At 41.5% G+C, this 24,835-nt stretch overlaps 1 pseudogene, besides 1 other annotated feature; it reads left to right on the plus strand.

Moving 5' to 3' along the window:
• Positions 4,227 to 12,804, plus strand: RPL35P7 (ribosomal protein L35 pseudogene 7; annotated as a pseudogene).
• Positions 11,686 to 12,187: an enhancer, noted in NCBI's record as "NANOG hESC enhancer chr13:107093146-107093647 (GRCh37/hg19 assembly coordinates)". NCBI's record gives its function as "activates a minimal SCP1, AML or CMV promoter by ChIP-STARR-seq in naive and primed H9 embryonic stem cells {active_cell/tissue: H9 hESC(naive and primed)}" and the evidence as "EXISTENCE:reporter gene assay evidence [ECO:0000049][PMID:30033119]".

The following is a 24,835-nucleotide window of genomic DNA, read 5'->3' on the forward strand; positions in this document are numbered from 1 at the left end:
AACTTTAACTTGATGGATATTATTTCAGAATATATTTTTCATAAAACAGACCTTTAAAAATATATAATGATGTGTTTTTGCTTTCATTCCTTGGGTAAATTGGAGCTACTTGGTCTAAGCATTGTTCCAGTGTCTTCGAAGTAACTGTGCATAGGCCAATTGTCTTGGTATATGTCACCTAACCCATATTTTGTTTTCCTAGGCTTTGTTTCCTTTTTTAAAGTTGATTTAATGTTTTTCAAAGTATCCTAAGTTTGCCTCATTTCCAGATGAACATCCTTTAAAGTTCAGAAATTCATCCCTCTCTGCCTTTTAAGGCTGGAGAACACGTTGGCACTGAATAGTTTGGCAGCAGAGATGGAGAAGCAGCCTGCACAGGATGAGAACTGGAATTATGGAGGCAGCTGTATTGGGCAGTAGGTTTCCATTAAATGGATGTCTTGGGCTTGCCATCTTTCACTGTAATTGCTGTGTCCGGGAAGTTGACTGTCTCTGGAGATCAATCTATTTTAAGTTTAATGGATCTGTAGAAGCTATTGAAAGACTGGTACAACTCTTTCTCCTTGACTTTTCCGGTCCAAATGAAGACATTGCTATCAGTTATGCTGCACCTGCCTTGCATGCCAACGTTCCAGCCCACTCCACCCCCAAGAGGAAACCTCCTTCCATGGACTTTATGTATTGGAAAGCTTTTATACTAAGTTACTTGAGTTTATTAGTAACAACATATTTGCTTTCCTATGTGATATATATACACATATATGTATGTATATGTATGCACATATGTGTGTATATATGTGTATCTATATGTGTGTATATATAGAGAGAGAGAGAGAAAGTGAGTCTCTTCTAATCAGTGTGAAATAATTTGTGTTATCAAACTGAATTGATACAATACCAAGAAAAAGCAAAGAAAATTCACATGCATTTATTCAATCTATATATGCATTGGCCTTACTGCAGGCAAGGGTACAATTTTCATAAACTTTCATTTGAAAGAACTTTGGCATTCAAAGATGTAACCTTTGTGGGTTAATAAAAAGGCAACGTAAATGTTCATAGGACATAGTCATTAGTGGTCTTTCTGAAAAACAGACGTAAATCATGGACCTTGGGGTGGTAAAAGGTCACTTGGCTAGTGAGGAATCCAACCCACCTCCCCAGCTTCCACGTCAACAGCTTTGTGTGCTCAGCTTGCTGTGGTTTACCTAGAAACACTAGTGAGAAAATGCGAAAACTGTTCCTTCTGAGAAAAAAAAAATGGCATCAGAGGTGAAGATGGAAGAGAAGAGGACTAAGAATGATTTTTAATTCACGTTCAGTCAATAATGTTTAAGTACTTTTCTGTAGACCACTTCGTAGGCACTGGGGATGCAGTGATGAACAAATCAGACATGGTCTTAGTCTTCATGGAACTTATAAACTATGCAGGAGAGGAACACAGCAAAGAAAAAAGAATCCCCACCTAAATATATAATTTAGAATTGCTACAAGCACAGGGAGTCAAAGCAGAAGGTGCTATGAGTGAATGTCACAGGGGACCTCACCTAGAGGAGGCATCAAGGATTACCTGTCGGAAGAAGCTACATTTAACCTGGGTCCTGCCTGCTGAATGAAATAGATGCTAATGAAGCGGAGAGTAAGGAATAGAGCTTTCTAGACTGAAGAAACAGATACAGAAATCCTCAATAATTAAGAGGGGTGTGATGGATTGGGTTGTGTCTCCCCAGACTTCCTATGTTGGAGTCCTAACTCCTGGTACTTATGAATGTGATCTTTGTTTGGAAACAGGGTCTTTATAGAGTTAATCAAGTTAAAACGAGATCATTAGGTCAGGGCCTGATTCAACATGACTGGTTTCCCTATAAGAAGGAGAAATTTGGAGACAGACATGCATACAGGGAGGCAACCATGTGAACATGAAGACCATCTACAGGCCCAGGAGAGGGGTCTGGAACTGACGCTTCCCCCACAGCCCTGCCCACGCCTTGGTCTCAGACTCCTAGCCTCTAGAACATGGGTATCATACATTTCTGTTGTGGAAGGCACCTCGTTTTTGGTACTGAACTTTAATGTGGGAGCTCTAGGAAACACAAACAGGAGACATCTAAGACAAGCCAGAGAGGAGGGTTATAGGTTGACTTGAGGATTTTAGGTTTTCTATCAAAAGTGCAATGGGTGTGACGTGGTCTAGCTTCACAAGGCCTGCCTCGATAATATTTGGGGAACAGATTGGAGGGCAGTAGAAGTGAATGTCTGGAGACCAGCACGGAGGCAATGCCAGGAGGCCAGTTAAGGGGTGATGGTGAGCTGGGCACAGGGGCTCATGCCTGTAATCTCAGCACTTTGGGAGCCCATGGCAAGAGAATTGTTTGAGGCCAGGAGTTCAGGACAGGCCTGGGCAATATAGCAAGACCCATGGTCTACCAAAAAAAACAAAAAAGTAAGAGGTGTCAGTGCCAGAAGTAGGGAGGTGGTAGTCAGGTGGGGCCTGAGCCAAGGTAATTTTGGAGTTAAAAGCAGTAGGTCTCAGTGTTGGACCACAAATGTGGTGATAGTTGTGGAAATGGTGGCTTCAGGAAGGACTTATGGGCCTCTAGTTTCCACAGCTGGGTGAATAATAACTCCTTCTGAAATGAAGAATCGAGGAAGAGGAGTGAATTTGGGATGAATGGTCAAATAAGTTTTGAAAATACTAAGTTTGAGATGCCTGTGTAATACCTAAATGTAATTTTTGAGTAGACAGTTAAACATCTAGACTTGTAACTCAGAAAAGAAATCAGATCTGAAAATATAATAAAATTGGTTCTGTTGGTATATAAATGGTGTTTTAAACTGTGGGAAAAGATGAGATGATCTGAGGAGAGAAGGTAGAATGGGAAGAGAACGGCCAGCACTGGCGCCTGAGGAGCCCTGTTAGAGGAAGCTTGGTTCAGGTTTCCTCAGTCTTGGCTTTGCTGACATACGGAGCCAGGTAATCGTTGCTGTGGGGGCAGCCTTGTGCATGGCACGATGTTCGGCAGCATCGCAGCCTCTGCTCACGAGATGTTAGCAGCCTCCTCTTAATTATGACAACCAAAGATGCCTCCAGGCTTTGCCAGATGTCCCCTGGGGCCCCAAATCACCCCTTGTTGAGAACAACGAGTGTAGAATAGACAAGCAAAGAAAAAATATAAAGAGTAAGTAGAGGGGGAAGAGGAAAAGCAGAAGGGTGCGATGTTTCAGAAGCCAGGAGAAAAGACAATCTCGGGAAAACTCAAATCACAGATTGCTGCCGAAAAGTCAAGAACGATGCTTACTGTGAAGGACCTAGTAGTTCTGCAGATGATCGTAACTTTAGCAACAGTAATTCTGGTGGCTCAGTGGGAGCACAAGCTAAATTGAAGTAGATTACAATTCCATTTTTATTTATCCAATTGGTAATACATATACACGTAGTCAGATTTTAATGACATCTGTGTGATTATTTTGTTTAACATAAAATATAGCAGATGCTATTGGTTGTCTACTCAACAATTTCTCCCTTTTAACAGAATTTCAATTTTTTCATACAACATGTTGTCTATTCATGGGAAACTGCTTTGCAAAGTCAGTGGTGGCAATCCCTTTCTCCTTGGCAGTGGCTGGTTTAGAAATAGACGTGTGATGCAGATGTAGTTAATGATGACATCAGAAGAAATTTAAAGGCATCTGGGAAACATTTCCTTGTTGATATAGACAACCAGGAAGGAACCTACCTTTCATCTGGGTGTGGCCTCCTAAAATTCCTAGAGGATTTGGTCACTTCTAACACAACTTTTCTCCCCACTATGGAAGAAGAATTAACTTGAGAACAAGCCAAACAGTGCATGTAGCAAAAGGGAAAACGGGAAGAATGTGGGTGTTTGAATGAAGAGGGAAGACTGAATCCGTCAGCCTGGAAGCCGTCCGTCTTCAGGCGTCTTAATACATTAAACCTAATTTCCTGCCACCTCCCATCTGTTTGCAGTTGTTTTAGTTTGTTTGTTTGTTTGTCTGCTAGCATTTATCATCAGCCCAGCATCTTTTTCCTCAATCTATTGTCAACAACTTCTGGAACAACACCATTCTTTTCCTCTGATGTGCTGTTCTCTTACTAACCCAAGTGGAATTCAGAGTTGCCCCATTTTACAGTTTTCCAAAATAAGGCAAATCGGCTACTGTCACCTCTTGACCTCTGATCTCTTCTCTGCCCCAGCTGGTTTCTTTTGAAGTCCACACCATTCCATTAGCACTTCCCTGACCACAGTGCTATCTCCACCGGTGTCTGCTCCTCACCCACATGCCTTGAGGATCTGCACACTTGGCCCATCACTCTTCTCTTTGCAGTGTCCTGGGAGCCATTTATTTTAATGGTCCTTGCAAACGGCTAGCTTCACACTTCAACAACCTCCAGTGGCCTTCAGCTATACCCTCCTCTAGCACCAAAACTCACAGCCACACCTTAGACCTCAGCATTACCTGAAGCCACTCCATCTCCACCATCTTAAACTCAGAAATTCTTCTCCCCCTCCCCCACCCCCGGTTACAACCCCCTACTCTCACTCCTGTTTACTCTCAGTGTGACCTTTGATTCTCATCCCCTCTCTCATCTCCCATGAGTCCCTTTCTGGATGTAAAATACAAACAAACAGGGGCTCCCATGAGCCCCTGAGAAACTGGAAACTACAATCAATTACAAGGTATTATGACCACTTACTCATGATATTTTTGTGACAACCCAGCCTGAGACCACATCTGTTCAACCATTTCAATTAAAATTTTCCCAGCACTCAGAATTCACACATCCTCTAAACCCACCTTGTCAGAAACTAAGCCATGAGTTGTCCCCACTTTTGATTCTGGGCTGTAGAAACTACCAGAAGAAAATTAGGCTGGGCATGGTGGCTCACACCTTTAGTCCCAGCACTTTGGGAGGCTGAAGTGGGCGGATCACCTGAGGTCAGGAGTTTGAGATCAGCCTGGCCAACATGGTGAAACCCTGTCTCTACCAAAAATACAGAAATTAGCCGGGCATGGTGGCTGGCACTTGTAATCCCAGCTACTCGGGAGGCTGAGGCAGAGGAATCGCTTGAATCCAGGAGGCGGAGGTTACAGTGAGCTGAGATCACACTACTGCACTCTAACCTGGGCGACAGAGTGAGACTCCATCCCCCACCACCCAACAAAAGATAGTTCTAAATGTTTCTTTCTTTTCCCAGAGGGTCATTGTTCTGTTCATAGAGAACCAGCCTCGGAGGTGCCTGATGTTTCCCCTGGTGGCCTCCCTCTTCCCCTTTCCTTCACCTGGTCATGCATTCAGACTCTGGGTCCAGGCCATGGCGTGAGCATCACCCTGTAAGGCAGCGGCGGGCACTGTGGTCCACAGACCCTACAAGTTCTCCATGAAAGTAGGTTTGGGGGTTTTGGATTCTTCAGATTAGATCCCATCGCTACCACCACCCCTCAGAAACAAAACACAGAAGGCTTTTCCTTTTAATAGTGATTAATGGTAACAACACAACTTTGATACATTACAAGGGAGCTGCATCTTTCAAACATTTAATTAACATTTTTGTTTTTTTTTTGAGACAGATCTCGCTTTGTGGCCCAGGCTGGAGTGCAGTAGCACAATCTTGGCTTACTGCAGCCTCCACCTCCCGGCTTCAAGCAATTCTCCTGCCTCAGCCTCCTCAGTAGCTGGGACTACAGGTGCCCGCCACCACGCCCAGCTAACTTTCATATTTTTAGTAGAGACAGAATCTCACCATGTTGTCCAGGCTTCAAGTGATCCACCCTCCTTCATCTCCCAAAGTGCTGGGATGACAGGCGTGAGATCACACCCGGCCTAATTAACATAAATTTGATGTACCAGCTTCAATGAAAGAATAACTAATTCAATTTGATACAAAATGCTACAACTTTATGCTGACCATCCACTCACTGAGCCTGGCGGACAGCTGAGAGGAGTGACCGTGGCGTATGCTGTTTCCTCGTCCAGTCTCAGCTCCTGTGGCCTCCCACATTGTCTCAGTCACAGCGAGTGTGATCCTGTTGTTCACATATATACATGTGTATTTTTATTGCACATGGCTGTCAACACCATTTGGTGACATCATCTCTTGTTCCATCCTAGCGCCTCTGCCCCCTTCCAGCCCTGGGACTATCACAGTCACTGAGAGAAAGTCTGTGTCGGCTGGGCGCAGTGGTTCACACCTATAATCCTAGCACTTTGGGAGGCTGAGGCAGGCGAATCACCTGAGGCCAGGAGCTCGAGACCAGCCTGGCCAACATGGTGAAATCACGTCTCTACTAAAATACAAAAAATTAGTCAGGTGTGGTGGCACATGCCTGTAATCCCAGCTACCTGGGAGGCTGAGGAAGGAGAATCACTGAAACCCCAGAGGCGGATGCTGCAGTGACCCGAGATCACGCCACTGCACTCCAGCCTGGGTGACATAGCAAGACTCTGTCTCGGAAAAAAAAAAAAAAGAATAAGAAAGTCTATGCCACCCACACGGCACCACTACAGGGACTAGTGCTGGGTGCAGCAACTGGCATAAAGAGACTAATAGTACTTGCTGGATGAATGACTGGAAGGAAACAATCCCCACAGCTGTAAGAACACTTGCTGAGCACTGCACTAAGCCACTTCCACGAATGTGTTTCATGGCAGGCAGCTGCTTCCATTCCTCCTATTTTGCAGATGAAGAAACTGAGGCTTAGGCTACTCAACTAGAACATGGTAAAGCAGGGATTTGACCTTCTAGGACTCTGACTCCAGAAACTGTACTCTTAACCCTTTTACCATTCTGCACCTATGTAGTCACTGATCAATTAACCTGCTTCTGATGGTAATCTAACCTCCAAAACTTTTCCAGGGAAAATGCTTAGATTCCTACACAATCCTAGCACTTCATTAACATCATCTATTGAGTGGTAAATGTAAGCAGTGTTAGGTGTATCTGTATAAATTGAGTTCAATTTTCTAAATTAGTATCAGAAAAGTAATTGGTCAATGAATACAAATATTGTGGGGTGGGGCAGAAGAAGGAAAGTATTATTTTCTTTCATTCACATTAAAAAAAAGTCTTTGTACATCATGGTAGGCTATCTTTACCAATTATTCTGTTTTCCTTGTAATAGAAGTGTACCCCTCACTCACTGACATCCAAGCCTTATGATATTTTTGTGACAACCCAGCCTGAGACCACATCTGTTCAACCATTTCAATTAAAATTTTCCCAGCACTCAGAATTCACACATCCTCTAAACCCACCTTGTCAGAAACTAAGCCATGAGTTGTCCCCACTTTTGATTCTGGGCTGTAGAAACTACCAGAAGAAAATTAGGCTGGGCACGGTGACTTGACTTATCCTTCAGCCTGGATCTGCAATGAAGACAGGCAGAGCAGAGCCAGGCAATGTCGCATCTACCTGCAACTGACATCCCGTGAGAGCCAGACTAAGTCTTTGTGCTAAGTCCTTGAGATTCTGGGGTTGTAACCCAGCATAACTTAGTGAAAGTTGAGTAATACACACATTGTTATGGGTCAAATTGTGTTCCCAAAAGATGGTGCTGTCCAAACCCCAGGAGCTGTGAATGTGACCTTTTTTGGGAATAGTGTCTGGTCTTTGCAGATAATCAAGATGAGATGAGGTCATCAGGGTGAACCCTAACCCAGTAAGACTGTCCTTAAACAAAGAGGAAATCCAGACATGGGTCAGAATGCATGGAAGGAAGATGGTGTGAAGAGGTGCAGTGGAAAGACCACCACCATCTCCACCATCTCCAAGACCTCAGGGATGCCTGAGGTCACCAGAAGCAAGGAGAGAAGCTGGGAACAGATCCTGCGCCAGTGTCTTCCAAGGGAATGTATCCCTGCTGACATCCTGATTTCTGGCCTCCAAAACTGTGAGGCAATGCATTTCTGCTATTTTAAGTCACTCAGTTTATAGTACTTTGTTATGGCAGCCTTAGCAAACTAATGCAAACTCATTTATCTCCAATTACATAAGGTCTTGAATAAATGGATGTTGTGATTTAGAATTTAAATGTAAAGAATTTTCCAGTGTTAACCCTTAGAGGAGTTACTAATTGTTCTAAATAGAGCTAAATAGAAAATTCCGAGGACATCAAACTTGCTAAACTATGACTTTTAACTTGTTCAAGAAAGATATAATAAAATGAAGATTTGAAACCACAGGTAGAAGTTACAATATCAAGAAGACATAGATTTTTTAATCGCATATGTACATTAGACTAATTTTCATATTCTGTGGTTTTTTATGATAGTAAATGAAACACTGCAAATTATACCTTTTTCTCTAACATTCACTCCCAATATTTAGGATTTATGCATTTTTTCTATATAATAAAATGGAACTGTAATACTGATCTCTTTCTCCTCTCCCACAGGATAAAAACTCATTTTCTATAGTTCACGTGCTATATGTGAAAAACGTACAGTCCTTGTAAAATGCTTTAGGACCTAGGTGAGCGCCACTGAGAATTGGCTGAACTTCTTCAGCATCATTTTTAAAAGGTCTATAAATTTATTGTTGTTATATCTTGGTCTTCTCAAAGCTGGACTAGTAAACGAGATGCTCCATGTGATTTGAAGAGCACCGCAATGTTCAGTACAAGTTGTTCTTTACCCTACACAAGGCAGACCCTCATGGGCTAATTGTATAATACTTAAAGCACTGCATATTTGAACTAGTAAAGTCAGGAAGGCTGAAAGATTGATCCTTTTTTATTAGCCACAGCAGACTTTAGTGTACCAGATTAGCTCAGTGCTGCAAAGGATATTGGTAAGTTGTTCCCCAGGTGGAAAGGTGGAAAAGGTATTAAAATTCTTCAGTAACTCCCCCGAGCCTCAAGAAAAAAACAAATTCATAGCAAGACACATCTGAGACCTCTGAGAGCTGGCCTCTGATTTCCTCTCCAGACTCCTCTGTCTGACTTGCTACACTGAATTGTTGAAAGGGGAAATTTTCTAGTCACCTTTTTCTGGGTAACTCTACCTTTCCTGATTTACCGTGCAGCCTAATTTTAATTAGGGTAATTAATGCTGTCTGCAACAACCGAAAGACACTGCCATCTTCAATGGCTTCACACAGAGTATGAGATCTTGCTTAGAAAGAGCCCAGGGCAGGTCTGCCTGCTGCCCTCCATTTTGCATTCACATCAGTTTGGACACAGGTCTCCCAGGTGTCCACGTTGAAGGAAGAGAGGGAACAAGAAGCACCAGGTGCTGCAGCCCAGCCCTCTTGAGGTCCCCAGGTGAGAACTGGTCGCCAGGCCACACCTCACTGTGAGGATGGCGAGAAGTACAGGGGAACACATGGGCTTTTTGTGGGGCATTCCTCCCTGCCTGATACCACAACCCCGGTCTGCATGGTATCCCAGCCGTAGCTCACACCACCCAGCCTTGCTCCTGTCTTTCTTCCTCATTAGATGATCAGTGCCTCCAAGTTGCTTCTGCACCTTATTTGTTTTTGTACCCAGAGCTTCCAGCAGCTTCCCTCTCACACTTCAGATGCTCAATAGCTGTTAAAATATGGAACAAATGGATGGATGGATGGATGGATGATGGATGGATGGATGGATGGATAGAGAGATGGATATATGAATGAATGGAGGGAGGAATAGAGGGATAAATAAGGGAAGGAGGCATGTATAGATGGACGAATGGATAAATAGATGGATATATGGATGGGTGGAGGGAGGAAGGGAGGGAGGGATGGGTGAAAGAAGGAAAGGAGGGATGTATACATGGATGGATGGATGGATGGAAAGAGAGATGGATATATGAATGAATGGAGGGAGGAATGGAGGGATAAATAAGGGAAGGAAAGGAGGCATGTATAGATGGACGAATGGATGAATGGATGGATATATGGATGGATGAAGGGAGGAAGGGAGGGATGGGTGAAAGAAGGAAAGGAGGGATGTATAGATGGATGGATGGATGGATGGATGGATGGATGGATCATTCGGCTTGTGGTATTGCAAGGCTGTTCAACACCTATAGAGAAAATTTCTTAGACCCATTACCTTCTTGAGAACTCTTTGATTGGGAACCTTCTAACATTGAGAATCCTGGCTCCCCAAAGTAGAGCTCAGGAAGTTGAGTTTTCTCCAATCTCCTGTGCAACCAGAACACAAGAATGTCATCTAAGTTTCTGCAGTCAAATAGACACACACAAGACTTTAATGCAAAGAAGCAGGCAACACAAGGCAACAGGCCCTGCATCCCTATGTTTGCAGGGGATGGAGTTAACACAATCAACTTTGTGTCATCGGTGGAAGCCGCAGTGATTTCACAGGAGTTACAGTGGAGCTCCTGGTGTAGAGGAAAGATGTGGGGACAGCAGTACTGGAGCAGCCCAGTGGAGGCGGTGTCCTTATCAGGTAAACTCTGAGGGGTGATGTGGGCATTATCCCACAAAGCTTAGCCTTGGCTCAGGTTTTACAACCCTCCCAATATTTCTGCCACCCAATATTTCTTTAATTAAATCCCTTTCTACTTACAAAAAAGAATCAGCTTTCTTCGCATGCAATTAAGAACCAACTAAGATCCAAGAAAATAGCATGCGGCCACAGGACATTGGAACTGGAAGAGAGAGAGAAAGTATGTGTGTGTGCACATGTATGTGCATGTGTGTGTGTGCATGTGTGTGTGTATTAGGAGAATCACTGGGGAGGGGAGCAGATGTAGAGGGAAGCAGTAAAGTCATAAAGTTGGTGAGAGTGGCATCTGGGCATCAGAGGTCAATTTTGCCAGCTTCATTCTCACTATAAATCTTTATTTTGTTCCTGTGAGGTGTCACTGTTACACTATATTGCAAGAGTTCAGCGATCGTGGCCCATTTATAATCTTAACATGTATCTATTTAAGTCATGCCTTGGGTCTTCAATCTACCATTAGACAATATTTATTAAATTCATGAAATTGTGCTTCAAGTAAAAACTGTGGTAAACAGCTTCAAGTAGTACACATATTCTTTGGTTTTTCTATAAAGTGTAAATTTGAAGGCAAGGTTAGATTGAAGAGATTTCTGAGCTCACAGAAAAGCTGATTGCCTCATACCAAGAAACAGAGTTTTGCTCAATTGAAGAGTCTAAAGTGGTTGCACTATCAACAGTCTTAAAAGTAGAATTGCAAGGATATTCTGAGGTAGACAGTGCTTCTGTGTCTTACTAATAACATTGTGTGCGTCCTAATAAATATCGACTTAAGAAGAGGGAACTACTATAATTGTGGAAGGGACAGTTGAATAAAAGAGAATATGGAGTTTTGCTCAAAACATTTTAACTGAAACATTTGTTTGTTTGTTTTCATAAAATATTCATTTCCACTGAAAGTTTGTGGACTATCAAAAGTTTGTTTCGTAAGGGATGGTACAAATTCACTTATCAGGTATTTTTTAATTTTAAAAACCAATATTTCAAGCAACCCACCAGAGATTTCCACTCTCAATTAAAAAAAAAAAAGTCTTCTCTGAATTAAAATAACTTTAATGTTTGAAATGCCTTGATTTAAGATTTTTCAAACTGGCTCATTCACAATATGAAAGTGGTATACCTATGAGATCATTGACTTTTGCTTGCAATTATCCTAGCAGTTTAAAGAAGTGTAATTGATGCTAAAATAACTGCTTCTTAACATTTTCAAGGTACTGAAAAGACTAGCTGGAAGTGAAGAGTTGACCCTTTCTGAAAACCTGAATAACCAGAGGTTCCCTAGTCATCAGTCACAGCAACAGCTAGCTCTTCTTTGAAAACAGGTCCATTTTTCAAGCTGTTGTTGGCATTGCTATAGATCCTGGAGGCATGACTGAAAACAAGATCATAACTGAGCCTTAGGAGGTCTGCTTATCTCTCACAGCAATGAGCTGGCAGAGGATGGGGACCCAGGCTCTTTGAGTGCAGGGGAACAATGCCCCTGCTTGGAGACCTAACTGATTGTAAACCTTCTTGGTAAAAAGGTGTGAAGAAGTGGGTCTCAATGTTTTGTTTGCTGCCTTAGGATTTGTGTGGGGGTGGAGGCTGGAAGGTTATACGGAGTAGGCAGAAAAGACATGATTAAAACTATTCATTTCATGAAAAAAAAAAAAAAATTTGCTCTGGCTTCCCGGCAGGCTTGATCTCTTTGTTACGCCGTTTATTTGGAAAGTCCTCTTGAAATGTCATTCAGGAAGTGCCACTCCAGCGGCCTCGCAGAAAAAGAAAAAGGATAGTTAGGGAAGAAGAGTGAGAAGATAAAAAGCATCCAATTTTAAAAGAATAATATTGAATTAGAAGCATCTTAATTTGTGCTTGCTCAATCCTGTGAATTTTACCTAGATTACAATCAAATTATCTCCTATAAGAAAAGAAAGATTTTAAGGAATTGCTAATCTTTTATTTAAAAAATAGTGCTTGATCTTTCTCCTTCTTCACTAACATGTTAAAAACATGATTTCACCATATGGAAAGCCAGTCCGTGCCTAAAAGGAAAAACAGAAACAATCATAAAATAATAATGCCCATAATTAAAATAAGGGCAAACATACATTTGGTAAATATGTCAGTGTAATGAATAAATAGTTGGTGCACTCTATGATTTGGTTCTCAACTAATTGATGTAAACCTTCAATTTGATTTTCTGGTTCCTTTTTATGCCTCTCAATAACCTCCTTCTGCCCCTCAAGATCTCCCGTTGACATCAAAGGGAGTGTAGGGTACACGAGAAGAGACACCAGCAGGAGCACCGAGGAGAAGGAGGGTGAGCGCTGCAAAGACCACATTTGTTGGAGCTAATTTTTAAAGAATGAACACACAGTTTGAGTCTATGTTTAATGTAAATATATAATTATCAAGAAGAAACACTGCAACCCTTCTATCCTTCATCTGTGAAAGCTAGATCTAGAAAAGCTAGGCGTTTCAGAACTTCAGGAGTAATATTAGCATATACTCATTTAAATTGTGGATTATTTTCATTCTCTGAAACCAGATGAATGTGGAGCAAAAGCAACTTTGGCAATTTAAAAGAACGAGTCAGGTCTTTGGGTTATTAATTAGAATATAGTCAATCTGCTTGTCTGCATTGAAACTTGTTGAGTAGGGACAGGGAGAACTGGGGAAGTGGTGAATAAGGAAGAGATCATCATTTATAATGAATTTGAGATTTATTTTCCAAAGTTTATCTGTGTTCTGCAGTCTTGCTGCAAAATGGATTCAAACTCAAAAGTTGGATAAATAACAGCATAACTCACTCACAACATTTTCAGTTATAACTATAATTAGACACTCCAGTAAATCAAATATCTTGCCTAGAGTTTCTGTATTCCATAAAAAGTATAAAAAATTTATTTCTCTCAAAGAAAATGATATTCTGTTATATAATCAATGTATTTAATAACTGAGCAAACTGGAATCATTTCCATTCCTAACATCAGTAATGTTGTCTGACTCTTAATGAATGTGGCATCGCATGAAAGTTTATTGATTGTTAGAACCAAACAAGGTAGGTAAGAAAAATCACTTTTATCCTTTAAAAAAAAAATATATGGAGAATTTGAACACAGCTTTTTTTTTTTTTTTTTTTTTGAGATGGAGTCTTGCTCTGTTACCCAGGCTACAGTGCAATGGCCCTATCTCTGCTCACTGCAACCTCTGCCTCCCGGGTTCAAGCGATTCTCCTGCCTCAGCCTCCTGAGTAGCTGGAATTACAGGCACCCACAACCACACCTGGCTAATTTTTGTATTTTTTAGTAGAGATGGGGTTTCACCATTTTGGCCAGGGTGATCTCGAACTCCTGACCTCGGGATCCACCTGCCTCAGCCTCCCAAAGTGCTGGGATTACAGGCATGAGCCACTGTGCCTGGCCGAACACAGCCTGTTAAAACTTGTGTTAAACTTTTTGTAGTTAGTAAAGAGCTAGATTCTTATATTTTAAATATTTTAAATATATTTTTACATTTTTTATAATTAATTCACTTTTTAATGTACAACTAAAGTTTCAAATATGTAAAAATAATTCTACTTTAATTTATATATATGAATGAAATATATATGTATATTCCAACTTTGTCTTGTTATAAGAAATAGCTATTTAGCATTATTTGACCACTTTGAGAGATAATGTTTTCTAACAACGTGAAATCTTGAGAAACATCTAATCTTTGTGTTGAAAGACAGTAATATTTTACATGTTTCTTGCATGTGTGCCAAAATTTCACTCCACTGGTATTAAAAAGTTTAAGCAACTAAAGCATGTTCTGTACTACAGTGTATAAGGCAATACAGTAATTTAAAATGATTTAGTGAGGAAGAAAGAGTGAGAAGTGTTAGGAAAAGAATAGCTGTTATGTGCCTCAGAGATGGTCTTAATTTATAACCTGAAGGGTTTTATTATAACAAAATCCAGTTGCATAGTCTCCACATTAAAATTAAAACTGGTCTTCAGGATACATATTATAAACCCACGACATCAAAGACTATGATTTTGAGAAAAAATTATTCTTTAGAAAGGAAATACCCTATACTTGTCTAAAAATAAATTTTGCAGAAAGCCACCAAGACAGTGTTCCATTGTAGGCTGTGAATCGTTTCAAAGGGATGGTGTTCTGAATATTAACATCATGTCACATCTCCCCAAGATGCATGCAATTACCCTGGAGAGAAGCGCTGGAATTGGAAGGTCTCAAGGGCTTACTTAGATAATGACATAAAATAAACTGCAACGATTCCCCGTGTGCTTTTCCAGGAGACATATTATTTAAAACCTATCTAGGACTTCAAGAATGAAAGACAGAGGAATGTCCACTTTATGAAATTGCTATTAAAGTGTGACATAGAGTTGAAGACAAGGTTAATTATTGGTTTTTAACCGAAGTATCAGTCTTGTTTAATATCAGTGCCCTGTTCTTAAATATTGAAGCAAGTCACATTTTTCAGGGACAATTGCCTTTGAATGAAGAATGACAGAGCTCTGGTCTTCGCTGACCCTTGCAACTCCTGCAGCGTAATCCATGGCAACTCGTTACTACGGCAACCAAGGAACATGCACCAGACCAGGATAAAACCGTGAAATCTGATGTCATATTTTCATAAGACATAATTGCAAATGATATTCTAAAGCAGATTTGTTAAACGTGTGATCTAAATTATAAGTTAGTTGGAAGTGATTATGAAACCTTCATTGGGACTAAGAATTAAGGGTCTGTGTTCATGCACTCAGTGATTGTGTTCATGCACTCAGTGATTTTATTGAACACCTACTATGTGTGGCACACAGAGATGAATAAGACATGGTTTCTCATATCTATTCTTCCCCTCAGCCTCACCCACTTCAGCTAGAAGTTCCAAGTTCGTCCACTGCTTTTTTCACAGGCTTCCCCCACCCCCACCCCCGCCAAATGAAGTCGGTATTTTCAAATGTTTCCATTGGTTTAATCAATATAAAATCCATAACCAGATCTCATTGAGGGTAGAAATTATACAAATATTTGCCAAATTTCCAAGTTCCTTTCTGTAATAGAGTTTTGCTCTCAGTTTTACTTTTCCCATCTTAGAAAATTGACCAGTATTTTTGGCTCTGGGTCCCACAGCAGAAAAGAAGGCTTCTAATTCATTCTGTTGGTGTTTTGAGTTCCTGAAGTATTTGCAGTGACTTTCATCCAAGTATCTCAGGTATTTCTTCTTTGTCACACATTTTAATGAGAAAGTGAGAAAGAAAACTGTTATTGATCTTAGTCTATCAGAATTTTGCAATTACACTATAAAAAGTCAGTTTTATATGTTATGCTTACAACAAAACATGGTACCTAGTATTGAGTTTTGTATTTGGGCTCTGTTAAGGATTCCTTGGTAGACCTGAGATGAACATGGCAATTGTCATAGTGATGTGTATTGGCCCTAACCCTGCCACTGGCTCTGACCAATTTGTTTCTAGGTCAAAACCCATAACCAATCTGAAAACAAATGTTATAATCATTCTTTAAATTTGCAAACTCTACAAAGGGAAGTATCAAGCCTCTTGGGAAATAGGAGAGAACAAAATGACTGCACAGAAACCACCATTTCTCCATCCTCATTCACAAATTAAATGTAGATTGTTCTAACCGTTGCATTTCCCAGCAACCCCTGAACCCCAAGTTGTGTGATTAAGACATGGTTCCCAGTGCAATCACTCTCTGATAGATATCTACCGACCAAACTGTTCTGCTCCAACCTGTTTCTAAGTCAGGTAACTGAGCTGCTCTTTCTGTTTCAGATCTGTTTATATTGCAAGGACAACCCTCATGTCACATATTAAGACAATATAAAGAAAAGCCTATTTGCACTTCATAAGAGCTTGGATGCAGAAAAAAATCTGCTGTGTGAGAGCCGCGGTCATTCCATTATTCACTGAAAAAACATTTATGCAGGACCTGTTGGCCAAGTGCTTGCAATGGCTTGAAGAAATACAGTCCTTGAATAAACTCACAGTTAGTGGAGAGAACCAAATACTAGACATGCTAAATAAGCAACAGTTATCAGACTTGTCATTAAGAGATGCACAGCCTGCCGTGGGAATGTGATGCAGATCTGAGGGGAAGCCTGAGTCTCCCTACAGAAAAGGTGTATGAGAGCTCCATACAGAGGGAATGGTACATGTGCTGGTGTAAAAGATGGCACAGCATTGCAAGGAGATGCAAGAAATTCAGTGTGGATGGCATTTTGTTTACCTATAGCAGAGAAAGGCACGGGTGACAGTATGAAGGGCTACACTTACGAGTTTGCTCATCTCCCTCAAAAAAAAAATAAAAATAAAAAAACAAGGGACATTTTATAGGATTATTTTCATCTATCTCCATGGAGTGCTGGCCCGGCCAGCAACCATGAGACCTGGGACAGCTTCAGCTACGGCTTTATATCAGTTATCTATTGTTGCATAACACAGAACCCAGAAACGTAGCACCCTACGCAGCACAGTTTTTATTTCACAGTTTGTGTGGGTCAGCTGGTTGCCTCTGGCCCAGCTGAAGGGACACTAGAGAGAGACAGAAGGATGTGCATTCCTGCTCATTCATGCAGTTGACCTCCCCCGGGATGAGTAATTCAAGGGAGAGCAAGATGCATGCACTCAGGCTGAAAGACACCCAACACAGAAGCCACAAATTTTTGTAACTCATTCTCAGAAGTGAATTACCATCACTTTGCCATCTTCTCTTTGTTGGAAGTAGGTCACTTGGTCCAGCCCACAGTCAAGGGAAGAGTATTACCCAGGCTGTATACACAGAAGGCAAGGCACAGGAGTAGTCTGAAGTTCTTGCGTATGGCTGGCAACATGATACCATACCACAAGAGCAGAGAGGGCAGGGATAACATCTTTTAATTACATCAATGATTTCAGGTAGCATTTATCGTGTATTTACTAGAATCTAGGTACTGTGTTTATTTATTTTTTTTCTGGTTTGCTTGGTGGGTTGAGCTACAGAAGTACAGTATTTAATTCCTATGACAACCACATGAGATAGGAAGTATTGTCTTCATTTTACAGGTGAGGAAAGTGTAATCAATTTGCCCAAGGAACAACAGCCAACAAATTTTAAGGTAGTGTTTGGAACTGGGATTCAGACCTGACTCCACTATGTCTCTCTCTAAAACCTGCTCATTTAACCACTGTCCACACAACCTCCGATATCCCATCTGCTTCTGCGAACCTATTGTCAACTAGAGTCTTCTTTGGACTTTGGAACAAGGTATAACTTTAATGATGCTCAAAAGAGGGAAACATAATATTTCAAAGAAAAATGTCGAACAAGACCTTATGACAGTGACTCCATGCCCTGAAGACTAGAGCTCCTAGGACTCATTGTGTTACTATTATTAAACAGTACAGAAAATTGCCCATGCACAAACTGAATCACAGGCTTGCAGTTCTGAGCCTGCAGTACATGATCTCACCCTGGTTAAAGACACCACCCTATTGACTTTTGATGTTCTAAGTGGCATTGTGAAGCCGACCAAAAATGCAACTGTAGACAAAACTAGTCTTGTATTAAGGCCAATGCTCTGAAAGGAGGACACACAATACACAGAATTTTCATTCAAAATTAAATACAAAAATCAAAATTTGACACCACAGCAAATAAACATCAAAATATGTAGAGTTCCCCAAAAGTGGTCATGGGTGATGAGCTGTAAAAGAAAATCTATTTTTACCAAATGGTTGAGAAGCTATGAAAGCATCGGGTAAGGGAGCAAGGAGACACGGGCTCCACTTGATGCTGTGGTTCAAAGAAGAAACATGTTCAAATGTGTTCTGTAATAATAGCTCTTGTTTTTGTTCATTCCAAGGTACTTAAAGTACTTTGTGAAATCATGACTAAGAGATAGAAGGAGATGGGATTTTTTGTTTTGTTTTGTTTTCAAGACACACTCTTCGCTCTGTTGCCCAGGCTGGAGTGCAGTGGTGCGATCTCGGCTCACTGCAACCTCCACCTCCTGGGTTCAAGCAACTCTCCTGTCAGCCTCCTGAGTAGCTGGGATTACAGGTGTGTGCCTCCTTGGCTAATTTTTGTATTTTTAGTAGAGACAGGGTTTCGCCACGTTGGCCAGGCTGGTCTCGAACTCCTGACCTCAAGAGATCCGCCTGCCTCAGCCTGCTTGTGTGCTGGGATTACAGGCGTGAGCCACTGCGCCCAGCCAAGATAGGTATTATTATTATTCTTTTGGGTGCAGAAGCTGACTCTTCCTTCCTATTGGTCCCCACCAGTCATCCAATCTTAGATCACAGAACAACCACTCCGTCCCAGGAGCTTATTTGGACAGCTGGGGTGAGCTCATGAGGAAGACACATCCGTGAGACACTCACCCACTGTGGAGGAGAAGGGTCATGATGTGGAAAGGCAGGTGGCACAACAAAACGCTGCAAGAACACAGACACAAGAGGGAAGGATTCTTCCAGGGGCTATTAGAAAAGGTCGACAGGGGAGATGAAATCTAAGCTAGACTCTGAAGGATGGGTAGAAGGAAAGGGAAACCAGGAAGAGGGAACAGTGTATGTGAAGCTGTCGGGGAGTAAAGAAGTCTGCGGTCTCTGAGGAGCACTCAGTAAAGACAAGGTCAAACCTCTATCCACACACTGGCCCCTCTCAAGCCACCATGTCTCACTTCAGTTTAGCACAGCATACGCCTTGCTGCATTTGGCCTTTTGTTTGTGTTTAGACAATGTTTGTGTCCCCCTGAAATGTGTAGGCTGAAAACTAATCCCCAGTGTGGTGGAGTTAGGAGCTGAGACCTCTGGGAGGTGATGAGGGCATGAAGGTGAATCCCTCATGAATGGGGTTAGCGCCCTTATAATAGAGACTTCAGAGAGCTCCCTTGCCCATTCCACCACATGAGAACATAAAAAGGATGCACTGTCTGTAAACCAGAAAATGACCCTCAACAGCCCCTGAATTTGTGGGTGCCTTGATCTAGGACTCCCCAGCCTCCAAAGCTGTGAGAAATAAAGTTCTATTGTTTATAAGGCACCCCATTTATGGTATTTTTGTTCTGGCAGCTGATATGGTTCGGCTGTGTCCCCACCCAAATCTCATCTTAAATTCTGGGTCCCATAATCCCCATGTGTCATGAGAGGGACTCGGGAGGAAGTGACTGGATCATGTGGGTGATTTCCCCCATGCTGTTCCTGTGAGCGAGTTCCCATGAGATCTGATGGCTTTGTAAGCATCTAGCATTCCCCCTGCTTGCATTCATTCTCTTTCCTGCCGTCCTGTGAAGAGGCGCCTTCCACCATGATGGTAAGTTTGCTGAGGGCTCCCCAGCCATGCAGAACTTTGAGTCAATTAAACCTCTTTGCTTTATAAATTACCCAGTCTCAAGTATTTCTTCACAGCAGCGTGAGAACTGACTAATACAGCAGCCCAAACAAATGAAGACAGTTTGATAATCACCATTGTCTTTTAGTTTAGTTTTTGTTCTGATGAAACTCTTGCCTATTAGAATTACATATTGAGGTCCCATGGGTGGTGCATGCAGGCTTTAAGCCACAGAGAAAACTTTAATTTTTCTCAGAAAAGACATTTTGCAGGGTTGTAATATGTTATTTATTTTGCTTCCAGATATCAGCGGTGCTCCATGGCCTTCCCACTACTTCTTTATTAAAATCCCATCCCTAACAATTTCGCTCCTGCTGGGTGAGTGCCAACACAGGCACTTACCTGGAGTGCCCATTTCGGGTCAGCCTCGTAGGAACTTCTATAATCACAAATGCATAACACAGAGCAGGTGCCTCTTTAAATTACCCAGTACCAGCAAATGCTTTTTTTTTTTTTAACTTTAATTTTAGCAAATAAGAGAAGGAAAAAGAACAAATCCATGAAATATAAAAATAATTTCTCAACAGAAAGTACCTTTTCCCTGGAAAATAAACACCAATGGGTTTATTACCAGCCATCCTTCAATTTTGGGTCATTTTGCCACATAAAACATTAAATGATTTCTCCTTTTGAAAACTATTCTTACCATTAACTTAATGTGAAACAAACAAAAAAAACCTGAAGGATAAAATTAGATTTTGTGATATATAAATACGGTTTTTTTCCCCAGTTACTGATCTTCTGCGTTAAAAACAAAAATCAAATAAAACTGAAAGTACCCAAACAAGATAATAATGTTCTTAACAGAAAACTAGACTTATGTACAGACATGGAAAGTTATGCAAGGAACTTGGTAAAGAAGGGGGGAAAGAAGGCAGTTGAAAGATTCCATTTTGGTTTAAAATTATTTATAATATTTACGTGTTCATAAATTAATTATCTTAAATCTGAGGAAAATTATTTAACAGTGGTTTTTTCTGGGTGATATGAGAAAATTTCACTTTTTTATATTACAGACTTCTCTATGTTTAAAGCTTTGTATATATATTTTAATCTTTTTATAACGAGCACATGCTTCTTTTATAGTTGGAAAAAATCAATCAATAAATAAACAAACACTTTCATCGTCTACCCCTTGTAAGTATTGTATGCCTCTCTTACAGTCTGAGAGTAGATAAGATTTCTCCAGCACTTTTAAAAGTCATTTCCTAGGCCAGGTGTGGTGGCTCACGCCTGTAATCCCAGCACTTTGGGAGGCTGAGGCAGGTGGATCACTTAAGGCCAGGAATTTGAGAGCAACCTGGCTAACATGGTGAAACCCCAACTCTACAAAAAATACAAAAAATAGCCAGATGTGGTGGTGCACACCTGTAGTCCCAGCCACTCAGGAGGCTGAGGCAGAGAATTACTTGAACCCAGGAAGCAGAGATTGCAGTGAGCCAAGATCATGACACTGCACTCCAGCCTTGGTGACAGAGTGAGACTCTGTCTCAAAAAACAAAAATAAAACAAAAATAAAGTCATTTTCTTGCTAGAAAGGGGAACTTTCCTCTGTCTTGTTCCAGGATGCTTCCTCCTTCTTAGGTGAAATATTAATAATCCCGTTACCCAGCAGTGGCAGTGCTGCTAGACTGCGAGGGGCAGGAGTTCCCACAGATGTCGGTGAGCTTTAAAATTAGCAAAGCACACCCAAACCCAAACCCAAACCCAAACCCAAACCCAAACCTAAGGAATCCTACTAAGCCACAGCCCGATGGAGGAACTCTGCCTCCTGAAATCAGCGGGGTCCAGCCTCTGCCTGGAGCAGGCCTCTCACTATAGACACTAACCTGCCAGGATGCAGTTTCACTGCTAAACTTAAATCATTTTTTCCTCATCTGGAAAAACAAAATAAAATATGTTTCAGGCTTTTGCCTCATAAATAGTTCCTAAACCTTCAGGACCTACTACCATTTGTCTTTCTCAGATTTTTTTTTAAATAAAAATGGTATCTGCTTTATACTGAATTATGTATTTGTTATGAGTTTAATATGCAGAATACTCAATGCAGTTTTACAAAACACAGCAGGCATTTTCCTGTGCCTCTCCTGTGCTTTGCATCTGAGTGTGTCTGAGAATCACCAGCCCAATATCCCTGGTAAAGGACTCGGGGTCTGTCTTCTGAGCTCTGCTCTGGTCATAAGGGACACCAGAGCTCTGCGAACAAGCCTCAATCGCCACCCCCTGCTTTTATGCGTGTGGTTCCCTCACCTGGGTTCCTGCTCCTTCTTCCTGCCTCCTCCCTCCAAGGCACCTGAGACCTCACTGAAGGCTCAGCTCAGGCTTTACCTTCTTCGGGACACTCTCCCTGGTCTTCTCCCCGAAAACTCACCACTTTCCCAAGATGCTCCCATAGCATCCTACACAAGTCTCTTTTCTTTTTTTTTCAACTATTCATACTGCAAACACTTTTCCTTATGTCTCTCCCTAAATTACAGGTACTATATTCACTTTATCTTTTCCCAACACAGTGCCAGCCACAGTGTTTAATGTGTTTGCTAAACAAATGATTACTTGAGTAATTAAGAAATAGGAAAAGGGTTTGCTATGGTTTGAATATTTCTGCCCCCTCCAAGTTTCATGTTGGGACTTGAACCTCAGTGAGAGAGTGTGAACAGGTGGGGCCTTTAGGAGGTGATGAAGTTATGAGGGCAAAGCCCTAATGAATGGGCTTAGCAGCCTGGTGAAAGGGTAGGAGAGAGCCGGCTAGACTTGGCCCTTCTGCCATGTGAGGACCCAGCACAAAGAACCTCACCAGACACCAATGTGGGTGCCTTGATCTGGGACTTCCCAGACCCCAGAACTGTAAAAAACAATGTCTATTGTTCATAAATTACCCTCTCTCGGGTATTTTGTTAAAGCAGCATAAATGAACTAAGACAATGTTTCACCCTACCCCTGTCTCTAACCCTCACTCCAGTCCAAACTCAACTCATCCTATGTGTCTCTTAACATGAGTGCAGAAGGAAAAGAGCAGGGAGGAAAGAAAGGGAGGAAGGAAGGGAGAGAGGGAGGGATGGAGGAAGGAAGGAAGGGAGGAAAGGAGGAGAGAGGGAGGGAAAAAGAAAACGAAGTAAAGTGATCTGCCTGCTTCAGCCTCCCAAAGGTCCAGGATTACAGGCATAAGTCACCATGCCCAGCCCTCTCTGTGCTTTTTTATGTGACCTGTATTAAATGATCACTAGAATTTAGTTAGTAGCTTGTACAATGATGCTCCTCACCCCTAATATATTAGGGTCTCTTTTAGCAAATATTTATTGAATAGCCATCATTTGCCAAGCAGTATGCCAAGCAAAATAAGCCAGATATTTTGCTCACTAAATATTTTTCTATTTTACTTCTCGTGGTTTTTATGTATGTCCACTTTTCCTGATTGGAATATAAATTTCTTAAGAGCAGAAGCCTTCTTTTTAAAACAATGAGCAAAGTATCTGGTAGGTCCTAGCCTCATAAATTCCGCAGTTTGATGGGGTTAACTGACATTGATTAGCAATTACACATATATATTTATAAACCATGATAATTGCCATATATATATATGTATATATATATGTGTATATATATATATATATACACATATATATACACATATATATATATACATATATATATATATATATATATAGAGAGAGAGAGAGAGAGAGAGAGAGAGAGAGATGGAGCTTCGCTCTTGTTGCCCAGGCTGGAGTGCAATTTCGGCTCACTGGAACTTCTGCCTCCTGCGTTCAAACCATTCTCTTGTCTCAGCCTCCCAAGTAGCTGGGATTACAGGTGCCCGCCACCACACCTGGCTAATTTTTTTTTGTATTTTTAGTAGAGACAGGGTTTCACCATGTTGGCCAGGCTGGTTTCAAACTCCTGACCTCAGGTGATCTGCTTACCTCAGCCTCCCAAAATGCTGAGATTACAGGTGTGACCCACTGCGCCCGGCCAAATAAATTTTAAAATACACATAAGAGGAGGTATTGACGTGGTCTTGAAGAATTAAGAAGGTTTCCCTATTGATCAAAAAACATGGCAAACATGTTGAACAATCTAACCTGAAGGATGGAACGGAGTTAGCCAGGCTAGGGGGCTGGGGTGAGAGCTGGAGTTCACAGCAACCGGAGAAGGAGGAACGCCAGGCTACAAAGCTTTTGGGACAGTGGGTTCCTAGACATGGCCCATTCGGTCAGTGTGCCTGAGGAGCAAAAACAAAGGGAGGGAGGCGAGGCCAGAGAAGAAGACAGAGGCAGGTGATTGGGAGCCTAGCTGGCCATTCTTAGGAGAAATGGGAACCACAGAGGGCTCCTGGCATGAGAGTGGCATGATCAGATGGGAATGCTGAACAGCTCTCTGGTCACAGAGTAAGGATACAAGGAAGGCAAAATATGTGCAAGGACACCAGGTAGGAGTCCACAGCAGCTGTGTAGGCAACAGAGAATGACGGCATGGACCATCGCAGTGGCAACGGGGAAGGGAGAAGGAAACTGCTGAGGGACTTGTTTAGAAGCTAAAATCACGAGAATTTGATGATAAATTGGATATGGGGAAGTCGGGGAGAATAGCATGAGGGTGGCTGAAACTTCTGGATTGTAGGATGAACAATTCACTATTCATTTGTCTAATCCACTGAAATGAAAAGCTGTTTTTTAGACATGTTGAATTTGAGTAGTCCTCAAGACAACCAAGCCGAATGTAAGTGTCTCTCATATTAACATCAGGACTGCAGAAGAGGCAAGTCGCCCATTCCAGCTTTGGAAAACAGACTCAGACCAGGAAGGATTTCAGAAGAGAAAAATGCCTTTTTTTTTAAATGCCTCCCACTTGAGCTATTAAAAGGAATATCAATTAAAAGTATTTAATGCATTAAAAGTAATGGCAAAACCAAAATTACTTTTGCACCAAGTAATTGGTGCAAAATGAAGCCCACTTTAGCCTTCTTTATCTTTGTGAAACT

Source organism: Homo sapiens, chromosome 13 (assembly GCF_000001405.40).
Source record: "Homo sapiens chromosome 13, GRCh38.p14 Primary Assembly".
NCBI classification, from domain to species: Eukaryota; Metazoa; Chordata; class Mammalia; order Primates; family Hominidae; genus Homo; species Homo sapiens.